At 44.7% G+C, this 17,701-nt stretch overlaps 1 protein-coding gene across 22 annotated transcripts in view; it reads right to left on the bottom strand.

Moving 5' to 3' along the window:
- The window catches only part of CGNL1 (cingulin like 1), a 174,213-nt gene that overhangs the window by 127,520 nt on the left and 28,992 nt on the right, over positions 1-17,701 (bottom strand). For 5 of the 22 annotated variants that reach the window (XM_047433180.1, XM_047433190.1, XM_047433178.1 and 2 more), the window contains one exon: positions 1,948-2,062. The exons of 8 other annotated variants lie outside the window; for them this stretch is intronic. The gene's annotated coding sequence lies outside the window, so the exon portion shown is untranslated. Of the gene's footprint in view, positions 1-1,338; positions 1,868-1,947; positions 2,063-16,095; positions 17,233-17,701 lie in introns of those variants that run through there. 9 more of the 22 variants (XM_047433182.1, XM_047433181.1, XM_047433191.1 and 6 more) reach the window with 5 other exon arrangements.

Below are 17,701 nucleotides of genomic sequence, written 5' to 3'. Positions count from 1 at the left end.
CCCTAAGGGTGTGACACGATCAGCTGAAGAGGTATGGTCTGTGTTTAACAAAAACCAGTTGCAGAAGCATATGGAAATACCTCCTTATCCTGGGAATGCCGGCAAAAACATTGATAAGAGAATCCAAACCAGACAAAAAGAGTCACTTCTTCTCCCTCTCCTCTACAGAACCCCCATAGCCATTCATGCCTACCTTCTACCCCCAAACTACTCCAGGTGGAGGGGAACTTACATAAAATCACATTCTCAAGGCAAAAAGGCTTTTGGGGACCATCTAACACACCCCTGCCTTCCCTTAGATGAGTCACTTTCAAACTTCCTAGTTCCAAATTTTCAGGCCCAAACCTCTGCTCTGGGATCTATTTCCATGTCCATCACCACTTTTCTTACACCAGTAATGCAACAATAGCAATTCCAGTTTATTTTCTTCCACCTAAAGCCAATACTGACACTAGGTGCCTCACCTTCGCCTTACTATCTCACAACATGCAACCTGGGAGCAATTTTTAGTTTGCAATAATAATAATAATGTAATTAACTCTTAAACACTCTTACTATGTACCAAGTACTCATCTAAGTACTTTTACATTAAACATTAACCTGCTCCGAACTATGCTGTCCAAAACCATCCTCCAGACATTAACCCACTGTTGAACATTAACACATGCACTTCCATTTGGGTGGTTAACTGATGACCACAGAGCAAACTGCAAAAAGAGAAGAGTATTTAAATGTCTTCATTTTCTCCTAGGAGCTCAGTTTATGAAGGTTCTTGTATTAAAAACCAACACACAATTTATTTTCCTGGGTAGATCTCTCCCATGGGAGCCTTGAGTCACACCATTAGAAATCATGGGGTGAAGCCCTGGACAAATTTACCCTGTTCTCTGACTTCCTGAGGGTGGCAGGAAGCAGACATTTCTACCAGAATAGTGCCAGGTTGTGAAATGAAACAGGCAATAAAAGAAAAAAAAAAAATAACTGCAAGGAAAGGAGAAAAAAACTGAAGAGAAAAAAGGAAGAAACATAAAAGGCAGACCATGAAAAATTACCCTCTGGCAGGGTTTAAGGGTTTTTTGTTTTTGTTTTAATCACCCATATAAATGACAGGGCCCCACATGGACTTCATTTGGTCAGCTAGGCTGGTTACAGCTCCAGTCACTTCTCTGCTTGTAAAATATGAGCAGATATTTGTAGGCAGAAGACATGATGATCAATCTAAAGAAGCCAAGAACACTGAATAACGAAAGGGGAGACATTAAAAACTCACAATCAGCATCCCAGAGAAAAATCTGCCTCAAGAAAGCCTTTCACTTAGGCCTGGGAACAATCACTCACATCCATATTCATGATCTCAGGCAGGACCCTGCTGCTGTCCCTGTCCACACAGGAGCACACGACCCCTGACACTCTACACAGGAGCACACGACGCCTGACAGCTCTGCATACTGAAGAGCAGGGACGGGACCCAGATCCAGGGCCACTGACGTCACCATTCTCTACTTCCTTCTCAGGGTGTTTCCTGCTGTAAAAGTGGGCTCTCCTGCTCTAAAGCAGGCTCAGAATATTTGGGGAAAGGGGCCATTTTTTCCTTCAGTTAGGTGATTATACTGTTTCCACTGAGAAACATTCTCCCAATCCTAACGCTTGTTTTAGCCAAAAGTGTCTTGTCAGACCCTTAACCTGGAGCTCTTACATCTAAATGCACCACCAAGAACATTACCTGAACAGATCTCCTAAGCCCAGGATCTCCTAAGCCAGGAGGAAAGAGGGTTCCTTTCGGTGTTTAAGGGTAGAAAACGAATTAGGAAATTTGGTTTAAGAGCCTCTCCACAGCACAGGGATGTCTATACTTTTTCTATATATAATGGTGTATCAGTCAGCTTGGGCTGCTATGACAAAATACCACAGACTGAGTGGCTTAAACAACAGAAATATATTTCTCACAGTTCTTGAGGTAAGAAGTCCAAGACCAAGGTGCCAGTCAATTCAGTTCCTGGTGAGGGCTCTCTTCCTGGCTTGCAGGTAGCTGTCTTCTTGCTATGTTCTCACACGGCCTTTCCTTGGTAAGAGCACACAGATAATCTCTCTCACTCTTCCTCTTCTTATAAAGCCAATAATCTCATTTTAAGGGCCCCATCCTCATGACCTAATCTAACCCTAATTACCTCCCAAAGATCCCATCTTCAAATACCGTAACCTTGGGAGTTAGGATTTTAACCTCTAATATGAATTTTGTGAGGACACATTCAGCCCATAGCAAATGGATGGGAATAAAAGCAAGGGGATGGGAAAATAGTACAATATCATCATCCAGCAGCATGGAGCCACCAAACATTCAGCAGATAGAAAACGAATTGTTCACAAGCTTTTTCTAACTTAGTTCCCTAATGGCTGAGTCTTTATCTTCCTGCTCATTTATCTCTTTTCAAGAGTCATCAGACTAAAAAGAATCTAACTGCATTAAAAATTATATGAAACAACTTCACAGAAGGAGGTGATAGAAAAACATGCTGAACTAAATAACTCCAGAAATGAGTGGAATCTGTAAGACCAAAGGCAAAGGTACTGTACATAAGTATTTTACTATAGTTGATAAAGTTGTTTCCCATAGAGGAATGCATTAACGATTCCGAAACCACTATATGTGTATAGTGGAATTGAACAATTAAGTAAATAGATGCCAGGTGGTGGGAGTCTGCTTACTGCTGGAGTGAGAAGTTATAGACATGCAAGGGGAGGAGGTTAGAATGACCCATGTGGTTAATTGATGAAAGTGGAGACATCAGTATGAACTCATGTTTCACCTGATTTGTAGATGGTTACATATAGGAATATTTATAAACATGTCTATATACACAGGCTAGTGTACACATCTATGTTTTCTTGCTCTTTTGGCTGAGAGCACCTAGAAACAACAGTACTCCAGTATCAATGAGTACCTAGCACCCAGATCTTGGTCTCTAATACCAACAAGTTCTCCAATAAAAGGAAGCAGGGTTCTTTGAATAAATGGCTTATTCTTCTAAGACTAGGGCAGGAAATATACAAGATGAGCCTGGAGTATCCTACAGTGCCAGAAATTAAACAAGTACTTAAAAAAGGAACCAAAATTACCCACAATGATTAAGGTATATCAAAGGGACACAGGAGCCAACTAAAAGATCTCCCAATGGCCCAAAAAATAGTGTTGGATAACTCAAAGTATAAAATAAATATCCATGAATCCACACTTATAACTAAATAAATACATAAATGGGGAAGAGCAGACAACTCACCCATGCAGAATTCCAAATAATTTATTTAGATAACCTGCCCCAGAGGACAGGGAACATAACTCCTCACTTCTTATGTGTGGGCTGCACATAGTGACTTCCTCACAGAAGCTAGAGTATAGAAAGAGGGGGAAAAGAATAACTTCACAGTGGAGAAACCTGGCAGACACTGATTGAGCCAAGCACATGCTTTATCAAGATCAATATCAGTAGTGATAAATCATGTTGATATGTCCTTTGATGAGAAGGGTGCTTTATCTCTGTGGTCTTCCTCCCACATAGAAGCCCCATAATGGGACTTCCTAATCGCAGTCTAATCATGAGAAAAATATCAGACAAATTCCAATCCTAGCAAATACCCAACCAATACCCTTCAAAACTGTCAAGGTCATCAAAAACAAGGAATATCTCAAAGCATCACAGCCAAGACATGACAACTAAATGTAGTATCCTGGATGGGATCAGGCAACAGAAAAAGGACATTAAATAAAACTAAGAAAATCGGGATAAAGTGTGGACTCTAGCTAATAATAATTTATCAAAAATGTTTCATTAATTATGGCAAACCAATTGCATGATATTGATAATAGGGGAAATTGGGTGTAGTTTCTGTATGATCTTTGCAATTTCCTTATCAGTCTAAAGCTATTCTAAAATTAAAGGGTTTTTTTTAAAGCAATGTCAAGAAAAGGGAGGCCAGGCGCGGTGGCTCACGCCTTACTGTCAGCACTTTGGGAGGCCGAGGCAGGTGGATCACAAGGTCAGGAATTTGAGACCAGCCTGACCAACATGGTGAAACCCCGTCTCTACTAAAAATACAAAAATTAGCCGGGCGTGGTGGCGCATGCCTGTAATCCCAGTTACTCAGGAGGCTGAGGCAGGAAGGAGAATTGCTTGAATCCGGGAGGCGGAGGTTGCAGTGAGCCGAGATTGCGCCACTGCACACCAGCCTGAGCGACAGAGCAAGACTCTGTCTCAAAAAAAAAAAAGGCACCAGGCAGTGAAACCCACTGACGCAGTCAGTGTGGTCACTCCAGGGCTGCATGTCCAACTCCCGACTCACCCGCCAGCTCTGGCATGTCGGACGGCCAGCGCAGAGAAACTCACATCATTCAATAGGTCACCGGGCACACATGCTGGTCAGGTCTCAGAACACTGCTCTTCTTCTGCCAGGAAGAACAGGGCAAACATCTCCCTGGGCCCGTGAACACACAGCATCACATCACAGGTACATAAAGAGAAGCCCAGTAAGTCTCCAAGCTCAGGGGACTAGACAAGGTAGGGTGTGATTATGAGCAATGTGGTGATAATTTATGAGCTGTGGACAGTTTCCCACAAGCCAAAGAGTAGAACTAGAGGGCTAAAAATACAGCAAACTGCCATCTTACAGAAGGAAGAAGGAGCAGGCAGAGAGCTGGGCAACCATGGTAGACCAACCTTCCCCAGGAAACATGCTTCTCCAAGACAGACATGATAATTGGATGAAAAACCGAACTGATTAATCACAGAGCAGAACGGGAGAAACCGAATAGGAGAGAAAAAAAGAGAAACAGAAAGGAATTGAGAGCAAGAAATGAGTACCAAAAAATGAGGCATGAGATGGAGGCAATTATATGGAACAAGATATTCATTACGCTTGTTTAGCCATAGGAAGCCACAGTGGCAGGAAATATGGACTGGGGTGTTATTTTGGCTGAAAACAAGGGGTAGCCAAGTTAAAACACTCCTTAATAAGCACCACCTGAGAACCCAGCATCCCTGATCCACAGACAAGAAGCCTCCTCTCCTCCCCAGCAATGCCTCTTCCCAGCTACTCCTCTCTTGTAAATGCTTCCCCCTTAACCCGCCACTTAGGTGTCCCTGATGGTGTCCCCAACATCTCAGACAACTTGGACTGCTGCTTCTACTACCAACCCCCAAAGGCTCAAGCCACCTCCACCCCTGTTCGTATGCAAAGTCAATGCTGTCAAAGCTCTGAGCCACTTAGCTGAAGACAGTGTCTGCCACCCAATGACAAAGAACCAATCCAGAGATCCATCAAATACCCAGGAAACACCTCCCTAGACCCTTTCCCATCACCTCTCCTTCACAGCAGCTGTATTTTCACATTTAGATGATTTTTGTTTTAATTAATATTTGTCTCCATCATCCATCTGTAACATCCATGAGAACAGGGGCTATATTGGCTTTTGCTCACCTTTTCCCCCCAGTATATCTGGCATAATGCAATTGCTTATGAATTGAATGAATAAATGAACGAGAGAGACTCCTTTTCCCCAGCAATCTGAAATCCCCAGAAGGAAAAAAAAAAAAAAGCACTATTTCAATTCTGAGTGACTAATGTAGCATTTGACCTTGGAGTCAGTTTACCCACAGAAATGGCACAATAGGCTGGGTGCAGTGGCTCATGCCTAAAATCCCAGCATTTTAGGAGGCCAAGGCAGGTGGATCACCTGAGGCCAGGAGTTCAAGACCAGCCTGGCCAACATGGCAAAACCCCATCTCTACTAAAAATACAAAAATTAGCTGGGTGTGGTGGCACACGCCTGTAATCCCAGCTACTCGGGAGGCTGAGGCATGAGAATTGCTTGAACCCAGGAGATGGAGGCTGCAGTGAGCTAAGATCCCACCACTGCACTCCAGCCTGGGTAAGACTCTGTAAGAAAGAAAGAAAGAAAAGAAAGGAAAGGAAAGGAAGAAAGGGCAGTATAAACAATTAGGTATTTAGTGCTATTAAACAAACTAGATACGTAATAGTGCAGTAATAAATAATACTGAGCATTTACCAAGTGCTAAGTACTATGTTAAACACCTTATATTCACTGTTCAGCAACCCCGCCAGGTAAGTATTAATTAACACCATTTTGCAGGTGAAGCAACTGAGGCTCAGTGGTTAAATCACTTGCCCAGGGTCACCCAGATAGAGCAGAATCAGAAGTCATCAAGGCCTGTCTGAGTCCAAAGACCATTCTCTTCATGACTCCAGAGTTCAGCTATACAACAGCTACTATTGTAGCTGAACTCTGGAATAGATGTTGGTTGGGGGCCTAGAACCTAACCACCATTCATGACACTGAATCCTCAGGAAGATGCAGCCTAACTCCAAACAATCAACTAACTGCAAAATAAGCTGTTAGAACTCATCTGGTTTGTAGGTTGGGGACCACCTGTAGAGGATTATGAAGAGAAAGAAGGCTGAGGATGCAGTTTCCAGGTAACCAACACTCCAGCACTGACTAAAGCATCTGTGTGTGCACCCCAGCAGTAGAGACAAGTTCCTAGGACACTGTGATACCAAGTGCCTTCTGAGAGCAGCATGCCAATCTGGAGGCCTTCCTGGAGCAACACAAATTCAAAACAGAAGCAAGATGGCTGCAGGCAGCTGTAGGCCCTGACACCAAGAAGGCTATCTTAACAGCAGGGATAGAGGGGTCAGGAGAGGATGCTGGCTTAAGTAGAAGGAAGAGCAGGATGCAAAGGTCTAGCCAGGGATCTTAGAGGAAAATGAGAATGTTCCTGACGACTTTGAAGAGGTGGTGAGCTGAGGTTCCAACAGCACTGGGAACAGAAACCTCTTCTGCCTAAACAAGCAGTGAGACTTTGGGCAAGTTACCAACCTGCAACTCTGAACAAAAAATAAAGGAATGGTCGGTTTCCAACCCTACATGTAAAGAGGCTAGAAGTTGTTACACTCATCCTTACAATTTAAAAAAAAAAAAAAAAAACACTGAGCAAATCGAAAAGAGGGTGGCTGCTTCAAGGGGCTACCACAGGGACTAAAAGGGATCAGCAATGTGGAAGTACCTTTTCAATTGTAGTACACTCAAGAACTAGAAGGCCTCAAAACTGTATTTCTGTGGGTTTTTTCAACCCAACCTCTGATATTTGAGGACTACAGAGACAGCGGTTCAGTCTCAGAGAGGAGGTGCATTCACAACACGGAGGCCCCAGAGCAGGGATCCCACGGCCGGCAAAGGGAAACTCAGGGAAGCAGCCGCCATCTCTAATCCCACTGGAGGTTCGCTGGGAAAAAATCAGGAGAAACTAACCTTGTTCCCTTTTCTGGCAGAGCTACTACAGAAGGAGCCCAAAGAACTGTAATCATGCAGCTGGATTTCTGAAAGGCATCATCAGCTTTCCCTTGGGGGCTTTGGTTCCACAGACATTTACCAAGAACATGCTCTACGTTGGGCCCGTGCCAGGCACTGAGGGAGACAAGAGTGATGGAGGACATGTGAAAGCAGGAACAACCCTGCCTCCAAATGGGGCTCAGAGATAGGTGGGGAGCTCATTACTGCAAGAGGGTGGGTAGAATCTGGAAGACTTTTAAGGGAAGGAATCTTTTGGCAATTTAGTGGCTTAAAATGATTCAAATAATCAAGGGGCAACAGGGCTGCATTCCTCATTTTAGGGAGACTCTGTCTCCTTGCCTCTTCCTGCTTCTAGAGGCCACCTGCATTTCTCAGCTCTTGGTCCCTTCCTCCATCTTCAACGCCAGCAGCGTAGCATCTTCTCTGGCTTTGCTTCCATTGTCACATCTCCTTCTTGGATTCCAACTTTCCTGCCTCCCTGTCTCCCATATAAGGACTCTTGTGATTATCCTAAATAATGCAGGATAATCTCCCCAGCTCAAGGTCCTTAAATTAAGCATATCCTTTTTGCTGTGCAAGATGGCATAGTCACAGATTCCAGGATTAGGAATTGGGCATCTTTGGAGAGACACTGTTATGCCTATCATGCAGATGGAAGAGTCAGCCTCCAGGAAGAAAAGAAAAAGGACTTAAATGTTCAGACCGAAGCTGAGATGAGATAAGGAGATGTATTTGATCTCAGTTGTCCGAGTTCTACCTTCCCAAGGCTGCTGCCTCCTGCCATGGGTTCCATAAGACACCATTCATCTGCTCCGTGAAATGCCCCAGAAGATTCTTCATTGTGCCTTTACCCAAAACCACACAACCCACTAAGTGGTGGAATGGGATTTATGCCCATTCTCTCTCACCCCCAAAGCCTGTGTCCTTAACCACTACAACTTCGGAAACATAGACAATGCAATATATGAGAGTTCAGGAGCCAAACAGATCAGCAGGCTGGAATCATGGATCAAGTCTAACAAAAATGAGGTTTAATAAGGAGAATTTGAAGCCCCTAACCCTAACCTCGGCCTAAGAAACCAATCATTTGATTGTAGGGTGGATGAGACGTGAAAGCAAATCTTGGTTTTGGTGGATTGTTTTTGTTGGTTTGTTGTTGTTGTTGTTGTTTTGGTTTTAAAAAAGTGTGAGGAACACAGGTGACAAATTCACTGTGAGATAATTGGCAAACACCACGGTGACCTCTGGAAATGATATATCTAGTTTCAACAGGGCAGGGCAGTTAACCACACTGCAGACTCCCCTTGAACCCAGAACAACTCCACACAGCTATCTCAAAAGTCTGTCTCTTCACACAAGTACTGTTCCTCACTGCACTCACCTCTATGCTTATCTTTGGTGCGATTATCTTGATTTTCTGTGTATACATAAAGGGATGACTGTTACTGAGTAAATACAAGATGGGATCCTCGACTCTCAGATTTGGAAGAAACCTGCTCTTATTGTGGGGCTGACATTAGATTCCCTGTTCAAATCTGCCTGTGATGGACGGCCAGCCCCGTCTGCCTTCTTCGGAGCCTCTGAGGAACATGCAGGGAGCCCAAAGGATGAAGGGGCCACCAGCCCAGCAGCCCCCTTAGCAAAGGGAACCTGCTGATGCTGCTATCAGCTCCATGCCCAGCTGATGTAGGCAGCCCCCTCTGCTTGAGGCTGATCACCAAGAGTCTGGTTTACAAAAAACAGCAGCCAGATTATATTACATCCAGATCACTTTAGTAAACCTTCTCTTCACATAGTGCCTTCAAGTCACTTGAGGCTTTAAGACTTTTCATTTCTGTTAGAATATTACAAATAACTTCATGAGATCCATAGCCCCGGGTACTACAACACAACTTATATGACTGCAAATGGGGCTCTGGAGGCATCTCCTTGAAAGAGCCACAGAATGTTCCCTGTAAAACTGATGCCGACACTGGGGGATGAAAAGGCCAAGCAGTTGCCCTGTGGCAGCCAAGCGTGCCCGATGGTAGAGAACTCCCACAAAAATCTACCCAGCAACATTGTTGTCAAAAAGGTCAAAAGGGATCCAAAAAGCATTTGATCTACTTTTTATCACTGAATGTGGGTATGGGAAGAAATCTAGTTAGCTATGCTTATCTTCTAAATAAAATGTCTGTTGATTAATTTTTTAAAAGAAAAGAGAAAAAAGAGCGGCCAGGAAGGAGTGGTTTCCCTACTGAGATGCTGGCCGGGCATGGTGGCTCATGCCTATAATCCCAACACTTTGGGAGGCTGAGGGGGATGGATGGCCTGAGCCCAGAAGTTCCAGACTAGCCTGGGCAACCCCTAGGGACAACCCCTGGGCAAAACCCCCATCTTCACAAAAATTTGCCAGGCATGGCGGTGCGCACCTTGTAGTCTCAGCTACTCAGGAGGCTGAGCTCGGAGGATGGCTTGAGCCCAGGAGGTTGTGGCTGCAGTGAGCCATGATTGACCATGCCACTGCACTCCAGCATAGGCCACAGAGCAAGACCCTGTCTCAAAAGGAAGGAAGGAAGGAGGGAAGGAGGAATGGAGGGAGGGAAGAAGGGAGGGAGGGAGGGAGGGAGGAAGAGAGGAAGAGAGAAAGAGAGAAAGAGAAAGAGAGAAAGAAAGAAAGAAAGAAGGAGAAGAAGGCCGGGTGTGGTGGCTCACGCCCTAATCCCAGCACTTTGGGAGGCCAAGGTGAGTGGATCACGGGGTCAGGAGTTCAAGACCAGCCTGGCCAACATGGTGAAACCCCATCTCTACTAAAACTACAAAAATTAGTCGGGCATGGTGGCACGCACCTGTCATCCCAGCTACTCAGGAGGCTGAGGCAGGAGAAATCCCTTGAACCCAGGAGGCAGAAGTTGCAGTGAGCCGAGATCGCGCCACTGTACTCCAGCCTGGGTGACAGTGAGATTCCGTCTCAAAAAGAAAAAAAAAGAAACTGAGATACTAAGAGATGGCACTGGGTACAGAAGGAGGGGAGTAGAGCTGGAAGCATGATCAACTCTCATCACATATGAATACCAGAATGGTTGTCATGTGAAAAGAAGATTAAACTTGGTCTGTGTGGCTCCAAAGGTTAGAACAACCAATAAAGAGTAGATGTGCCAGGGACACAAACTCCACTTCAATCGAAAGGGGGAAATGAGCTTTCTCACAGAGATGCGTCAAGATAAACTAGGCTGTTTCAGGAGACAATGAGTTCCCCATGAGGTGGAGGAAGGCAAACAGGGCCTGGCTATCCATTCACAAGCAGGTTTGAGAAAGGAGTCCCGCATCAGCCAGGTTCCTGGGAAATGTGATAATCAAAGATGCCATCTCATATTTACTCAGACAACAATCATCCCTTAACAGATACAGAGAACATCAAGATAATCACACCAAAGAGGCCAGAGGAGAGCAGAGTAAGGAACAGCATTTAAGAGAAAAGAGGATGCAGAGCCACCAAAGAACAAAGGGTTTTCTCCAGATCTTATCTGAGCGTTTTATCTGTACAGAAAAGGTCTTGAGGATAAAAGGCTCCCTGCTGAGTGAAGCTGCCTCTGTCTACAGCTAGGATGAGGGTGGTTCGGGCCACCCACTAACATCCACTGCCTGTGAAACTCCAGCCTGGGACAGAAATAAACGAGAATCTCAGGAGTGACTTTCAGGCACATCACCAGCACCCGTCTGATGCCAACACAAACTCTCCAAACTGTCATCAGCTGGTTGCCCTCTTGGCAGAGGAAGGAAGTCAATCCAAACCTGTCCCAAAAGGAAACCTGCGAATGTCACACAACAAGAAGCTCTGAACGTTAGCGGGGCTTTGAATGCTAGATAATCGACAGCAAACACAGAAAATATGAGCGCTGATGGAATTTTCCAAGAAGCATTTGATGCTCTTGTTTAAAATAAGTAAACTTCCAGGACTAGGAAAGGGGTGGAAGACAGCACCAAGGCTCTCAGTGAGGTTTTTTAAGATATTAAGAAGCTCTATACAGCAGCTGAGCCAAAGGCCAGTGGAATTATCCACATCAAAAGAGAATTGGGGAAGAAAAAAAAAAAACTAGTGAGATCTGGGCCAGGTGCGGTGGCTCATGCTGTAATCCCAGCACTTTGGGAGGCTGAGGTGGGTGGATCACCTGAAGTCAAGAGTTGGAGACCAGCCTGGCCAAAATGGTGAAACCTCATCTCTACCAAAAATACAAAAAATTAGCCTGGCATGGTGGCGGACACCTGTAATCCCAGATACTTGGGAGGGTGAAGCATGAGAATTGCTTGAACCTGGTAGGTGGAGGTTGCAGTGAGCTGAGATTGCGCCATTGCACTCCAGCCTGGGTGACAGAGCAAGGCTCTGTCTCAAAAAAAAAAAAAAGAAAAAGAAAAAAAGAAAACTAGTGGCATCTGGACAGTGCATGGCACAAATATCAGAACAGCTAAACTGCAAGTTCCCTGAGGACAAGGAAAACCAGATCTGGTTTTGACTCCCCAGAGAGATCACAGTTGGTATACAAGAGAACGTCCAAGTGAACAAATATGAAGCCAGCAGTGACTCCAAGAAAGGAGGAACAGGAAGGCTCTAGACAGCTGTGATGATTCTGGAGAAAATAAGCTCGTATTCTAAAAAGGAAGACTCAGAGACCGGCTCATGTCAGAAAAGTCTCTGTGTCTGTGGATGGAGTCCAACATATGACACTCTTTAGTCATATTTTGATATTAAGAAAACATGGCCAATATCACCATCCAACATGGTATAAATGTGATAAATTTTAGTAAGACCTTCAAAAGTTATTTTTTAAAAAACTTGGTCTTTGTGGTACAGTAACAATTATGTTCTCTAAGCTGTTACAGCTTATCTTTAGATTCTTGTATGAAAACACCAACACCACATATTTATCATCTTGTTTTCAAGCAAATCTGATTTTTCCCCACTGAATCTGACAAGACACAAACGTTACGAACTTCAGTCTCTTATTAAGGATTGCATTTTATTTTTTTAGCAAGAGAGAAAAGAAGCTAAAGCGATACAATTACATCCTGACTAATACAAGATTTGAAGGGCACTCCTCATAAGCATGAGAAAATTAAGAGGCAAAAGTTTAGCATTTTGAAAAACTAGTTTAGCAGATAATATAGCCTCCGATATTGTGGAAAGAATTTATTTTATCTTTCTCAATTGTTGTTATTGGACCTCTTCATACTCACTCCTCCCTCCCTGCTACACACACGTACACATGTTGGGACCACACAGACACAGCCAAAATGCCTGCCTAGAAAGAGAGAGGTGGTGATGGGAAAGCTTCCAGAACACTCTCCCATCTGCTGACATAGCCAGCGACATGGAATAGAAGAGAGGAGAGATGATGGCAGTCAGCCCCAGGGATCAAGCCTCATTTAGGTCAAAAGGCCAAGGGTAGGAAATACAGCCCAATGGTGGTATAAACCATCCTCCATATCAACTAAGGAACTAGGGTTTACTGAGGAACTATCATGAGTCAGGTACTGTTTTGTGCACTTTGCCTAGGTTCACATTTAATCTACTTAACGACATGTAAAATGAGAAAACTGAAGGACAATGACTTCAAGTAATTTGATTGTGAAGCTGACAACTGACAGACCTAGGATCCTGACGGAGTCTGTCTCACTCCACAGTCCTCTCTTGCCTCCTTTCCTAGGCCAGGCTACCTCGGGCCTGACCCTCACACTGCAAATGATCCCCTGAACTAAGACAGGATTCCACTTCCTTGAAGTGGTGAGTCCTCACTGGTCAGAACCCCAAACCATCTCAGCTGAAGTACCTTCTGGGCTAACGGCTTGTGCCTTTAATCTTCCAGAACAGAAGGATCGTTGCCATCTCTCAGGCTCAGAAAGGGCGAGATCCTCACACGAGGCATCAGATGAAGATGCTCTGCAGAGAAATTCCTGTTCTTCATTCCCTTCCCACTTGATTTTTCAAACCAAGCAGTGGTTTTATTGGACTTATTTCTCTATTTTTTTCTGGTAAGAACAACTCCCTGGTTAGACTCAACTTAGAACTTCTATTCTTGTTTTAGCAGCTTCTAAATGTCTAAAAGTCCTATCAGTCCCAGCCCGACTTGACTCTTCCTAACAGCTCCTGACTTACATGGAACATGGCATCAGTCAACTCCACGCCCTCTCGGGACCTGCAAGCATCCTACCTTCTCCCTCCCCCTTTCACACAACATCAGTTAGTGATTTCTTCCTGTTGACCCTGCCTCCTGAAACCTCTCAGCCATACTTCTCCATCCCGACACCATGGCCCTAATTAGAGCTATATGCATATCTCTATTGGATTACAGCTGTGGCCTTCTAAGTTGATCCTCAGTCTTCAGGCTTGTTTTCCTCCAACCTGTTCTCCCCATGGCCACCGTCATCTTTTCAAATTTGTACTTCAGCCTAAAAATTACTCAGTGATTTGTTTCTTCTTTTGCTTTCAGCATAAAAACACAATCTCCTCAGCATGGAATTCAAGACCAGGCCCCAGACATCTCCAGCCCATGTGCCTCCCCTGCGCAGGCTCTGCACCTACTCACACGTCTCCAAATGCATGGCGCCCCTCTGCTTCCTGAGCTTGCCAGCCTGCTTTCCCCAGGCCTTACCTTGCCAACTCTCCCCTGGACCAGATTTCAGACCTTTTGTTCCCTCAGCACACACGCGTGTGCACGTGGTTAGTTCCTAATGTCCTCAATTAATGCACACATGCCTGAGGGTAGGAAGTCAAAAGGCAATGTGTGTGTGTGTGTGTGTGTGTGTGTGTGTGTGTGACAGAGTCTCACTGTCTCACCCAGGCTGGAGTGCAGTGGTGCCATTTCGGCTCACTGCAACCTCCACCTCCCGAGTTCAAGCGATTCTCCTGCCTCAGCCTTCTGAGTAGCTGGATTACAGGCGCACACCACCATGCCTGGCTAATTTTTTTGTATTTTTAGTAGAGATGAGGTTTCGCCATGTTGGCCAGGCTGGTCTCAAACTCCTGACCTCAAGTGATCCATCCCGCTGCCTCGGCCTCCCAAAGTGCTGGGATTACAGGCATGAGCCACTGTGTCTGGCCTAAAGGCAATTTCAAGAACGTATCTCTTTATAAAAAGGGCGTCTACGAACCCCTATGCTCATTGACAGAAAAGGACACTAATGAGCTGGGTGCGGTCTGTGTGCCTGTAGTCCCAGCTGCTCAGGAGGCCAAGGTGGAAGGACTGCTTGAGGCCAGGAGTTTAAGACCAGCCTGGGCAACAAAGGGAGACCTCATCTCTAAAAAACTAAACTAAAATTAAATTATATTATCCCGGAAAAGTGGACTAATATCCAGAGGTTTGGCTCTGGGAAAACTGTCCAAACTTTGCTTTGGGGCTTAAAAGTCACATTCTTGAATAATTGATTCTCCGATTCCAAAAGGCTCACCTGGGCAGTGCACATTTGTGGAAAGATTTGTCTCTGAGTGAGGCATTCAAGATAAGGATGTCTATCAACGCAAGTCACTTCTGTGTATGAATGTGTGTGTTCATCATCCTTGAGGTTTGGGGCCCCTGAGAAACTTAACTCTGTTTTCCCTTTACCAAAATAAACATAACGGTGTGCCCTGCCTTCAGCTGCTTGTGGGAAATGGCTTCGTGGGATAGACTATTTTCTTCCTGAGCATCCCACTTTCTGCAAGATTTCAGCAGAACACAGATATTTAGTCAGGTCACTTAACTCCTAACTTACTGCACCCTCTCACTGCCACATATTTTGAAAATACCAAAGAGAATAATTTTTTTTCTGCTGGTAACGGTGGCTCACACCTCTAATGCCAGCACTTTGGGAGGCTGAGACAGGTGGATCACCTTAGGTCAGGAGTTCAAGACCACCCTGTCCAACATGGTGAAACCCCATCTCTAATAAAAATGTAAAAATTAGCCAGGCGTGGTGGTGGGCATCTGTAATCCCAGCTACTCAGGAGGCGGGGGCAGGAGAATCACTTGAACCCAGGAGACGGAGGTTGCAGTGAGCCGAGATCATGCCACTGTACTCCAGCCTAGGCAAAAAGAGTGAAACTCTGCCTCAAAAAAAAAAAAAAAAAATTGAGAATAATTTTTTCTAATACTTTCAGATATTAAACAAATTGTCAAGCCCCACCACCCTGCCTTTTTTCTGAGACAGGGTCTCACTCTGTCGCCCAGGCCAAAGTAGTGTGGTGGCACAATCACAGTTCACGGTAGCCTCAATTTCCCAAGGTCAAGTGACCCTCCTGCCTCAGCCTCTCAAGTAGCTGGGACCACAAGCATGCACACCACGCCCGGTTATTTTTAAATTTTTTTTGTTGAGACAGGTTGTCACTATGTTGCCCAGGCTGGTCTCAAACTCCTGGTCTCAAGCAGTCCTTCCCTCTAAAAATTGAGGGAATCCTTCCAAAGTGCTGGAATTACAGGCATGAGCCACTGTGCCTGGCAAAACCCCCTATTTTTTCGCAATTACTTATTTAAACATTTTTTTGAGTGGTAAGAATAGAAGTAATTCACAAAATAAAACAAAACAGATGAGGAGTCTTTTTTCTCATCATATTTACTAAAAACAAAAAAAGGAAAAGGTGTCCAAACATCAGGTTGCTGTAAGTTATAGCAAGTCAGCCAAGAGACCTCTTGTAAACGCTGAAACTTAGCTCTGACCACCTTAACGGAAGGTCTTGAAATTCTTCATGTATACAGAAAGCCATTCAGGAAGCCCACCTCCTAACAGCAGGGGCAAGTGACAGGACTTCTGTCTCCAATAATCAGATGATCCAACAGTTACCAGCTCTACCCCCATTACAGGGAAAATTCATGTCAAAAGGACAGATGGCCCAACATTCCAAGCGGCCTGTGAATAGATCAGGAATAAGTCAAAAGTCATAAATTTAAGTTAGCTTACTTAAACTGATTGTACGGGTCAACTAGTACAGTAAGCACCAGTATTTGGTAAGCACTCAGTATTTTGATAAATACATTCAGGAAAACAATTTTTATTTCAGATTGCATTCAGAGCCCAGCACTATTGATCATTGGCAAATAATTCAGTACACTCACTACAAATTTTCTGGATTTGCACAGTACTTATGTAAGTTTGATTACCATGATCTCATGTGTTTGCCATTTTAAACACAGTTTTGAAATAAGGACCCTCTGGGCCAGACGGGTGTCGGGTTTCCTGAGACATTCACTCCAGGCTTTCAGTTCCCATCTCAGGATCTAGTCACTACCACTTACCCATGTTACCATGCCACTGCCACTTCGCATGATTGCAGAACAAATTCCACAGAAAGTTCTAGGCTACTTCACTAGGCTCCTAGCTGAGCCACTCGCCTCCACCCTTCTCAGAACCCTTAACTGGCTTCTAACTCCCATCAGATGAAAACCCTTATGCCAGCCTGTAAAGTTCAGAATGCTCTGCCCTCCTTCTCTTAGAACCCCCACCCTCACTCCCTCCCTCTAGCTACTGTGGCCTCCTTGCTGTTCCCAGAACACACCCAGCAGCCTCCTGCTCTTATGCTTCATGCCTTAGGGCCTTCAGCGTCCCTGTCCCCTCTTCACAGTGCCCTTCCCCCAGGCAGCCCTGATCTGGAGGCTCCTTCAGGTCTCACCCTCCTGTTGCTTATCAGATAAATCTTCCTGGACCATCTGGTAGAAAAGGCTTTGCCAACAGGTAGGATTCTCTCCGCCCCATCCTCACCCTCTACCTCATCTGGCCATACTTCCTCTTAGCGCTCATCACCCACTGATGTGCCTTGCCTGTGTGTTTAGTGGGATCTTCTCCACCTCTGCTTTGCTTCCTGCTGTATCCTTAGGGTGAGAGTAGGGCCTGACCCACAGGGGGTACTTGGTAAATATCTGTATTAAATGAATAAAAGGCATTTATTTGTATTAAGCATAAGTTGTAGCCCCACTAGGAAAAAAAGAAACAGAGAGAGACAGACAGACGGACAGACAGAAAGAAAAAGAAAAGAAAGAAAAAGAAAAGAAAGAAAAAGAAAGAAAGAAAGAAGGAAAGAAAGAAAGAAAGAAAGAAAGAAAGAAAGAAAGAGAAAGAAAGAAAGAAAAAGAAAAAGGAAAAGAAAGAAAAGGTCCACACCTTCTGCGAGTTTTTCTATCTTCTTAGAGCCCTGGGGAAAGGCTCAGAGTCTGGGCTGAGGGAGGAGGACATAAGAAGGCACAGAAAGAGCCCTATGAATGAACTGCCTTCTCAGGATCCCCAGCTCCACTCTGCTCCCCACTCACCAAGCTTACCACACACCCTTGAAAGGTAGGAAAGAGCTGGAGATTGCAAATGACAGATCAAAGGATGTCACAGAAATTCAGG

This window comes from Homo sapiens, chromosome 15, assembly GCF_000001405.40.
Source record: "Homo sapiens chromosome 15, GRCh38.p14 Primary Assembly".
Lineage (NCBI taxonomy): Eukaryota > Metazoa > Chordata > Mammalia > Primates > Hominidae > Homo > Homo sapiens.
This window is presented reverse-complemented; position numbering and strand designations above follow the sequence as displayed.